This window comes from Homo sapiens, chromosome 5 (genome assembly GCF_000001405.40).
Source record: "Homo sapiens chromosome 5, GRCh38.p14 Primary Assembly".
NCBI classification, from domain to species: Eukaryota; Metazoa; Chordata; class Mammalia; order Primates; family Hominidae; genus Homo; species Homo sapiens.
The window spans coordinates 30,098,300-30,108,825 of record NC_000005.10 but is presented as its reverse complement, the minus strand read 5'-3'; the positions used below and the strand labels follow the sequence as shown (position 1 = coordinate 30,108,825).

Below are 10,526 nucleotides of genomic sequence, written 5' to 3'. Positions count from 1 at the left end.
ACTGCAATTTTTCTGTGGTGTCATATCCCTTTAATCCACACTTCCCACTGTGGCTAGTTTCTAATTCATAGAACTGATGAGGTCACTCCTCCTTTAAATTTTCTAAAACTCCTAAAGACATTTTTAAAAATGTCTTTAGAAAATTGAATAATTATATAGATACATATGGGTGGAGTAGGATATAGTGTCAAATAAACACCCCAAAACGCCAATGGCTCAATAACAGAAGAGGTTTTTTTGTTGTTGTTTATAGATCAGCCACGTGGAAATTACTGATTCTTTAGACAGTTCCCTTCTATATACTAATTCACATTCCTTCACTCTTTTGATTCTGGCATGTACTACATTGCCTTCATAACCTGATTCTAGCCATCAGAAATGAAGGAAACGAAGGAAGGGAGGAAGGAAAGAAAGAAAAGAAAAGAAGGAAGGAAGGAAGAAAGGAAGTAGATAAATGAGCTACCACCATTTTTTAAAAGCTTAGAAATAATACTTATGCATTTTATTCATATTGTGTTGGCTGGAAGTCAGTTCCACAACAACATCTAACAAAGAGCATGAGAGAGAAAGTCTGACTGTGTGCCAGGAAAAAGAGAAGAATAGGGATTTCAGTAACGACTTGCCTTTAAAAACTTTATAATCTGGTCCAGCTTGCCTTAAACCATCACTTGCATTTCCTGGATCTCTCCAAATCTACTCTCTAGCCATAATAAATTTTATGCAATCATCTACATTCTCTTTCCTTGGGGCCTTTTTATGCACTGCATTTTCTGATTGAATTAAACTTTCTACCCCAAGCTCATTGTTATGAATTGAATTGTGTACCCTGCAAACTTCATATGTGAAGGTCTTAATCCTTAGTACTTCAGAATGTGACCACATTTTGGGATAAGGATAAGGAGACTAAGTTAAAATAACACCAGTAGAGAGATAGTTTTTAATCTAATATGACTGATGTTCCTATAAGAGAAAGAGATTCCAGGGATGCATTCACAGAGAAATGATCTTATAAGCACATAGCAAGAAGGTGGCTATCTACAAGCCAAGGAGAGGGGCCTCAAAAGACACAAAACTTGCCAACACCTTGATCTTGGCTTTTTAACCTCAGAACTACGAGAAAATAAATTTTTATTGTATAAGCTGCCCAGTTTGTAATATTTTGTTACAGCAGCCCTAAAAAACTAATACACCCATCCTTTTTCCTTGGATAACTACAAGTCTTTCTTTTTTTTATTACTTAAAAATAATTATTTTTAGAGATGGGGTCTTGCTCTGTCACTGTCTGGAGTGCAGTCGTGTCATCATAACTCACTGTACCCTTGAAGTCTGTGGCTCAGGTGACCATCCTACTTCAGTCTCCCAAGTAGCTGGGACAATAGGCATGCACCACCACATTCAGCTAATTTTTTATTTTTGTACTTTTTATAGAGACAAGTCTCACTATGTTGCCCAAGGTGGTCTCAAACTCTTGGCCTCAAGTGATCTTTGGCCTCAGCCTCCAAAGGTGTTGGGATTATAGGTATGAGCCACTGTGCCTGGTTCTCATTCTTCTTCACTTATGTAACAAGTTGCTTAGACAAACCTCTCCTTACTTCATTATGACTGGATTTGATCGAATTCCATGGCTACTTAACACACTGAATCCTAATTACTTTTATTTGTCTGATCTTCTCAAGATCACAGACTTCTTGGTGTTAAGCTTGTTCACTAATGAAGTTATAGCATTTAGTACAGTAAAAAGTACATAATAAATGTTGATTACTATTGTTTCAAAAAAATCTATAATAGCAGTAGAGTTGAGGACAGATGGGTTCAGATATGTCATTGTGAATGATTAACTTTCAGAGCCGGCCCATTTGGAAAACAAGAATCAAAGACATTGGAGTAGATGTGTGAATCCGAGTTCAGAGTAAGTGTGAAGCAAAGCCTGTGGTGACGAAGCCAGATAGTTCCCTGACCCCTTTGTGGGTGGGAACTGGAGTGCATGGGTGCTGGAACAAGCCAACTGTGTTGGCGCCAGCAGGGGCAAATTCCACTCCCTTGAACCCGCTGCGCTCCACCCCTCGTGGGAGGGGGAGCACAGGTGAGCAGGTACAGGAGGAGCTGGGGAAGCACTCTTGGGCACATGCAGGAGTGAATTCCGTACCGGCCCCACAGCAGCATCAGCGGGGCGGGGGTGCCCACGACCCCCGAAGCCCCAGAGGAACTGTCACAGTACTCTTTTAGCTCTGCCCTCTGTGGATGGCTTAAGTGTTAACAGCTCAGTGGACCCTATGTCTTTTAGCATAAGGCGGCTACCTTCTGCCAGCGAGGGCAAAGGGTCAGTGTGGCAGCCTTTTGCCTCCACACTCACTGCACCTGAGCTGTTGTCAAGCATCCAGGAGAAATGAAGTAGCACAAACGAATTGGAGGATGGTAAATGTGGGGGATTTTATTGCTGTTGGACGTGGCTCTCAGAGGGAAGAGGAGCTGAAAAGCAGACAGAGAAGGAAGGTAATCTTCCCTCAAAGTCCAGCTGTCTCCTGGGATTCTTCTTGAAATTTACACCGTCGAGCTGTCCCTCTGAAGTAAGGCACTTCTCTCTGATGTCCAGCTGCTTCTCCTGCCTTTGCTGGCTGAGCCTGCAGTTTTCACGGGCACAAGATGAGGGCATGGAGTGGGCCATGGGTGGTTCTGGAAAAGGCAACATTTGAGTGAGAAAACTGGGATGTTAACTTCTCACTTTGGGCTGCTGTTTCAGGCTTTTCAGCTTGAGGGTGGGGCCCTCACCAGGGACCTGCCCTCTTCAGCCCAGAATTTCCCTGCCTCCCATCCCTGTCGTTGACCAAATGGGAGAGTAGGGAGAGTAGGAGAAACTCTGAGGAATGGCTTTAAAAATCAGCTAAAATGTGTGACTTTCTTTGTGGCTGACAGAGAGGAGATACAATGAGTGGATAGGCCAGCCTAATCCAGTGAGGGTTGAGTCAAGAACAGGGAAAGAAATCAAGAAAACACAATGTGGGTCTCAGACTTTTAAATCACTAGGAACCGATTTCAAGATGGCCAGAAAGGACTCTATTTCAAGACAGCCAGATCATAATATGACCTGATGGATAAGCACTGATGTATAAATGCCAATTATTTCTACAAACTTTAAAGATGTAAATAGTTAGCTAATTCATCAGCAATTACCCAATACTGATACACAGTTTTTGCAAACTACAATTGCAAACAGAATAAAACCCTGAGAGCCCCAAATTTTGCCTTGAAGTGATATGCTTGTGTTTTACCTGAGAAGGCATAAATTTCTAGAAAAGTACAGATTTACTAGGACCAGTAATTTAGATGTTGCATTCATTAATGTTATTTAAGAGGTTTAGTGAATAACAGCTAAAACATTTGCCACTCTTGTCACCAGAGTTCCCTTAATCTGCTGAGTAAACAGGATCTTTGAAATTTTGGTTGTGAATATTTCTATAGTCTATGGCTTAGAACACAGATAATTTTTTCCCTGCCTGCTCTTTTAAGCAGATAAATGCACAACCTGAAAAGTTATTAGCATATCAATGTCTAATTGACTGTAATAAAAAATGAAAAATCCTAATAACATTCCTATATGTCATTCTCATAGACTTCAATTATTCAGAAGTTTCATAATGCTGCTGCTGCCTAGTAGAGTATAAGCCATTAAATATGCAACTGGGCTAAAATATAAAAGTTTTACAAATGCTCATAGGATGAAATCATTGTGGTGTTTTAAAATTTAATGTTGCTTAACCTGCAACACAATGAATTCCTCTGCCCAGATACAAAGTTTATGATGTGAAAGTAAAAATTAATCCCTAATGTTTTGTAGAACAGGTCACACCAAAATTTTTTTCTTTCTTTCTTTGTTCAACTTTAAATTTCTGTTTTAAGTATGCAGTTTGCCTCTAATAAAGTTTTCAAGTTTGAGAAAAATAACTGCTATGTGACAAATTACTGTGGATGTTATTACCCTAAATTGCAGATAAATAAAATTAAGAAAAGTAAAACGTGGAGAAACTAATGAAGTTGTTAAATTTGCAAAACTCTAAAAATATATTCAATCTATATATGACATATATATATATATATACATATATGGAAGAGAAAAAGGCCAAATAAACAAGACCCTTTCTTTTTTTCTTTTTTTTCCTGAGATGGAGTCTTGTTCTTTCACCCAGGCTGGAGTGCAGTGGCATAATCTCAGCACACTGCAACCTCTGTCTCCCGGGTTCAGGCAATTATCCTGCCTCAGCCTCCCGAGTAGCTGGGATTACTGGCACGCACCACCACACCCTGTTAAGACACATTTTAAAAAAGAAAAAAAAAAAAGCTAAAGTGCTTCAAAGTTAGTATTTTCATATGTTTTCTGAAAAACAAATATACTGATTATGATATGTTAGCTAAAATTTAGCAAATGTATTATTTAACAAATATGTTATACATTTATCATTTAAAAATATGTCATATTTGTTTTATCTTCCAATATTTTATAAAGATAACTAAAATATAGGCTATTTATTTGACAATAAACTCACACTTATGTGCAAGAAATAGCCTACATTTTAGTTATTTTTAAATAACTAAATGGGCATTGTTAAATGTGCCCATAGGACTTTAAAACTGTAGATAATTTGTTACCTCAGTATTATTTCTTGAAGAGTGACATTACTACAATGAACTTAAACCAAGAATAATATTAGTCATCTTCAAAATCTCCTCTTTGAAAAACACTCTCATAATTTTCAGAATTTATAGCATATTTCATACATCTATTTTCTGTCCTTAACCTCCTTAGAGACACGGACACTTCGGAAAGCGTTCTGCGGACAGTTATCAAGATGATGAATTGCAGTGAACACCAAGACACAAAAGGTTAGAATTTTCTTCTTTTTCTTTTTTAAAATGCAGCCCAGAAGCATAGACAAAGGAATGAGAGACTAAGAGAAAGATAACACAGTTCAGGATTTACGAGAAATTTTCTAACTTGCAGAAATGTCTAAAGATACATTTGCTTCTTTGTAAGGTAATGCATTTTATAATCACTGAGAATATTTTAAAATAGGCAGGGACAACAATTGTTGCTGGATTATGCTGAGAGGATTAAGTCATGAGATGATTCAACTTTGATTTTAAAGATATCAATCCTCATTTCCTAACTTCTTGAAAAGTTATGTTGGAAAATGAGAAAAACCACAATGCTAGCTTCCTGTCTTCAATATCTACAACGTTCACGTAAGCAGCTTATGTGTCCTTCTCAATAAAATAGTACTGCTTAGTATTTTTAAATATATTTTATTTATATGGTATCAAATGGAAACAAAGTCAAAGTCACTCCAATGTCTGAAATAAATACATATATGCATGCATGCACACACACACACACACACACACACACACATACACACACTGCCTTTGAGTATGTAAGAAAGAATTCACTTAGTGCCTTTTGGATTGAAGAGAGGAGAATAAATGAAATGAAGTAATAATTTCTCCATAGCTAAACTATTTACTTTTTCATGGAGCATGTGGAAGATAGCTACTTGGCTCCATCCTCAGAGAAGAAGTAGTATTTTTATATGACTTCTTCCTTATTCGATGAGTTGCTACATTTCAAAACTATGAGTAATTCATAGAATCTGCTGGCAAAAATATATGTTCTGCCAAAATACACACTCACACACTTTTATGTGCTAAAAAGAATTATTTGAAATAAGGTATGTTACTTTAATAGTAATACACTCATTGAATCTGTTTAGGGTTAAAATAATTTAAAATATTAATGTAAAAAGCAAGGAAATTTTCAGGTTAAAAAATGTTATAGCAGAGGACAAATCTTCCAGTTCTTTTTCATAAGGACAAATATTTTAAAGGCTAAATTGTAAGCTGATTTTTCAACAATCATAGCAACGGACCAAAATTATATTTGTAAGTTGTAATACTACTATTTAATACTTTTTAAACTCTCCCCCTTATAATCTAAATTAATGAGTATCCTCCACATCCCCCAAAATAACATCAGTTATATTTGTGGCAGAAATTGTATTCTTTTGAAAAAAAATTGAGAGAATTATATGAACACATTCAAATTTTTGATGGTTGTTTTTAAATAAACTTTTTAAAGTTTTAATATAACTTTAGCTTATGATTTACAGAAAAGTTGTGATACGTAGTACAGAGAATTTGCATATTCCTCACATTCAGTTTTTCCTACTCTTAGTACTTCATATTAGGATGGCATACTTGTCACAATTAATGAACTAATACTGATATATAAAGATGAACTATAATGCCTACTTTATTCAGATTTCCTTAATTTTACGTAATGTTCTTTTTCTGTCCCAGAATCCCATCCAGGATTCCACATTCCATTTAGTCATCATGTCTCCTTTGTCTTCTCTTCTGTGACAGTTTTTCAAAGGTTCCCTGGTTTTGATGACCTAGGCAGTTTTAAGGAGTACTGCTAGAAATGTTTTTCTCAATTGGAATATTTGTGAAAGTTTGTCATGAGATCGTTAGTGGATGTTGTATTTTGCCACATGCTTTCTTCAATGGATATAATAATATGATTTTTCTTCTTAAATGTGTTGACATGGTAGATTACATTGATATAGTGTAAATACTAAAACAGGCTTGAATATCTGGAATAAATCCCACTTGGTCTTGTTATATAATTCATTTCACACTTTGTTGGATGTGTTGAGAATTTTTGCCTGTATTTTCTGTGAGATACCAATTCATAGTTTTCTTTCTTCTAATAACTTTATCTGGGTAATGTTGGCCCATAGAATGAATAAGGATTGATCCCTTTGCTTTTATTTTTTGAGAAGATTACAAAAAATAAATATGTTTTCATGTTAAATGTTTTAAAGAATTCATCAGTGAAATTTGAGATTCATGCTCTCTTTTTGGAAGATATTCGATTATTGATAATTTTCTGTAGATAAAGAGCTACCGATAGTATCTATTTCTCCTTATGTGAATTTTGGTAGGTGTGTCATTCAAAGTATTTGTCCATCATATCTGTATTTTTAAGTTTTTGTGCTTAGTGTTACCTATACTATTCACTTGTTAGCCTTTCAAAGTACAAGTAAGAATAGAGAAGTCTTTTTATATTTTTGGTATTTGTAATTTGTGTCTCTTCAACTTTTGTCTTTATTAGCCTGGCTACAGGTTTATAAATTTTATCGATGTTTTAAAAAGTATCTTTTGCTTGTATTTACTTTCTCTATTTTTTCTCAGTTTTGTAGAGTTTCATTCTAATTTTTAATATTTCTTCTTCTTTTAGGCTTAATTTGCTCTTCTTTGTCAAGATTTCTAATGCTGAGCTGAGCTAGTTGATTTGTATTCCTTTCCTTCTAATGCATATATTTATGTAAGTTACACAGTACTACATAAGTACAAAACATACATGTCCAGGTGTCCGTGCCTTTTTTATTGCATCCTAAGTGCAGAATAAACACTTGGTTTATATTGAATCTGCTACCTATGAAAATAAAAAACGTACTTTCTAAACCAGTGATTTTGGCTATACTAAAGTATAGCTAATCATGGCTCCCCCAAATATCCACATCTTAATATGTTACCTTATATGGCAAAAGAAATTTTGCATATGAGATTAAGTTGATGATCTTGAGTTTGGGTGATAATTTTGGGTTACCAGGTGGGTATGATGCAATCATATGATGCAATCACAGGAGTACTTAAAGTAAAGAAGCAGGCGATCAGAGAAGGGCTGGAGAGGAAGAGGCAATATGATGATGGAAGCAGAGATTGGAGTTTTGTGCTTTGAAGATAGAGAAAGTGTCCTTAGCCAAAGGATACAGGCAGCCACTACCAGCTGGAAAGCCAAGGAGATGGAGTCTGCCCTAGAGTCTCCTGAAGAAACCAGCCCTGCTGACACCTCGGCTTTGACACAGTGGAACAGATTTCACACTTCTGGCCTCCAGAACAGAAACAGAATAAATTTATGCTGTTTTAAGAACTATGTTTGCGGTAATTTGTTACAACTGCAACAGGAAACAAACACATAAGTAAAAAACACATTGTGATTAAGGAGCTCTGTGAGATTTCCTGAGTCCCAGAGAAATGTTCCTGTAACAAAACTCTCAGAGTTCAGTGATTGGGAGCTTGAGTTCACAGACTTAGGAAACAAATATCTTCTTTTAGAGAAATTTTTCAAACAGAACCCGAAGTGAACTCTAGTATAATCTTCTAATGAATGTTACAGCGTGTTGTTTGTGCTATTAAATTCACATGCATATTCTCTCTCTTACCTCTCGCATCTTTTCTTCCAATTCTCTCTCTGTCTCTCTCTCTCTTTCTCTTTCTCTCTCTCTCTCTCCCTCTCTCTCTGTCTCTCTCTCTCTCACACACAGAATCATAAACTACTTTTCTTCTGAATCCTCTCTGTAAACGGGCTAAGCATTTGACTTAAGCACTGTGATGCCTTCTTTAGAGAGATTAAGTAGGATGATGCAAATGCTTTGTCAGATGCTCCCACCAACTGATTTATCTTGGGAAAGATAAAAATTTAACCTGAACAGAAATAGAAATATTGTCAATGAGGGTGAAGGTCAAATATTTATGTCTACTTGAAAAAAATCAATGTCAGAAGTAACAGTAGTTCTTTTCTTGTACTCTAGCCTGCGTTTCCTTAAATATTGTGGCCCCTAGATATATTGATAGTTGAGAAAATGCTCTTTTCTTGCTCTGCTTCCCTCAGGAAAAGTTTTTTAAACCCACTTTCTTAGCAGCTAATCGATCATATCTTGTGTGAATAATCAAAAGCCTTGGAAGTTATGTGTACATGTCATGGCTTTCATGAAGCAATAGCAGATGTGTGAGATGTCTGCAAAACCTGCAGATGGCAGTTGCGTGATCTACCTTCATTGGCATCATTCATAATATAAACACGATTATAAAGTACTCTGTTTACATTATTCTTGAATACAATATTCCCAACAAAAATATCTGCAAAAGTCAACACATTAAACCCAATGCAGTGCATTTTTATTACAAGAAGGCATTCTTTAAGGATGACTAATGTCTCCGAGGAATAAAATGGAGATTAGGCAAGAGTGTGATTAAAATGAAGACCCGAGAAAGGTTACATTCTCTATGCATTCATTCTCCGCAGGGTGCACAACTGCCTAAGAGTAAAACAAATAATTTCTCCAGCAGAAAGACTTCCATTTGAAATGAAATGCTTAAAATAACAAATTGTGTTTGTTTTTACCATCACATTTCCTTGACATATAGAAAAGTCATATTTCCTCATCATATTTCTTTTGGTAATAAGCTTCTTTTGACAAAGATTGTACTTTGACACTATGAGAGATGTTTGAATAGACATAATAAACACAGAAACATACTAAAACTAAAATCTATTGAAAAAATTTTAAAAGGATTGAAAAATGAATGTGTTTTGACATAAGAATTGATTCTGCAAATTAAGTAGATCTTTAAATATTAGATTTATTAATACTATTATTGCTTTTTTGTTGTTGAACATTGTAGATTGTTATAATGATTCTCAAATGTATTGGGATTGCTATTTTACAATTCTTATTGTTAGTACTGAACCACATGCTGTATCTTTCATTTGTCAAATTTTAAAAGTTTCTTAATCATCTAAACATCTTTTTCCTCACCAAAACCTATATTTCCTCCTATATGCACTGTCAGCATTATTATTTCATTTATGTGAATAGAAATGCTATAATTAAAAGTATATGTTTAGTTTAGTTTCATTGTTTTTCTGTTTCTTAGCAAAGACTTGGAACCAACCGAAACATCCATCAATGATAGACTGAATAAAGAAAATGTGGCACATATACACCACGGAATACTTTGCAGCCAAAAAAAAGGACGAGTTTATGTCCTTTGCAGGGACATTAATGAAGTTGGAAACCATCATTCTCATCAAACTAACAGAAGAACAGAAAACTAAACACCGCATGTTCTCATTCATAAGTGGAAGTTCAACCATGAGAACACACGGACACAAGGAGGGGAATATCACACACCGGGGCCTATCGGGGGGTGGCAGGCTTGGGGAGGGAGAGCATTAGGGGAAATACCTAATATAGATGACGGGTTGATGGGAGCAGCAAACCACCATGGCACGTGTATACCTATGTAACAAACCTGTATGTTCTGCACATGTATTCCAAAACTTTAAATGTAATAAAACAATTTAAAAATGTGTTCAATTTACCTACATATTTATTAATTTTCATATTTACTTTTTAAATTGTTTCATGTGCTTTTCCTCAGAGTTTACTTTTTCTGCTGGCTGAAGTACATTTATTTTTATTTCTTTTATTGACAGGTTATATATACTAAGCTTTTAGTTTTTGTATATCTTCAAGTATCTTTATTTTGCTTCTCTTTATGAAATGTAAATTAGCTAGGAATAAAATTCTGTACTAATCATTAGATATTTTTCTGCACTTTGAAATTATTACTGTAATGATCTTCTGGTCAAGTTGCTTTGGAGAGTAGGTGAAGTTATCATTTAT

At 35.3% G+C, this 10,526-nt stretch overlaps 2 long non-coding RNA genes across 2 annotated transcripts, besides 1 other annotated feature; one reads left to right on the top strand and one right to left on the bottom strand.

Moving 5' to 3' along the window:
* Window positions 2,173–2,674: an enhancer, noted in NCBI's record as "H3K4me1 hESC enhancer chr5:30106259-30106760 (GRCh37/hg19 assembly coordinates)". NCBI's record gives its function as "activates a minimal SCP1, AML or CMV promoter by ChIP-STARR-seq in naive H9 embryonic stem cells {active_cell/tissue: H9 hESC(naive)}" and the evidence as "EXISTENCE:reporter gene assay evidence [ECO:0000049][PMID:30033119]".
* LOC124901160 (uncharacterized) lies at window positions 2,406–6,368 on the bottom strand. Its single transcript, XR_007059098.1, has 2 exons — window positions 6,301–6,368; window positions 2,406–2,673 (listed from the first exon to the last, which is right to left on the bottom strand). It is a non-coding gene; the product is annotated as an uncharacterized LOC124901160 (long non-coding RNA).
* A 70-nt stretch (window positions 6,369–6,438) lies between these two features.
* Window positions 6,439–10,221, top strand: LOC105374707 (uncharacterized). The gene is made up of 3 exons (XR_925891.2): window positions 6,439–6,991; window positions 7,292–7,378; window positions 9,775–10,221. It is a non-coding gene; the product is annotated as an uncharacterized LOC105374707 (long non-coding RNA).
* The last annotated feature ends 305 nt before the right edge of the window (window positions 10,222–10,526 follow it).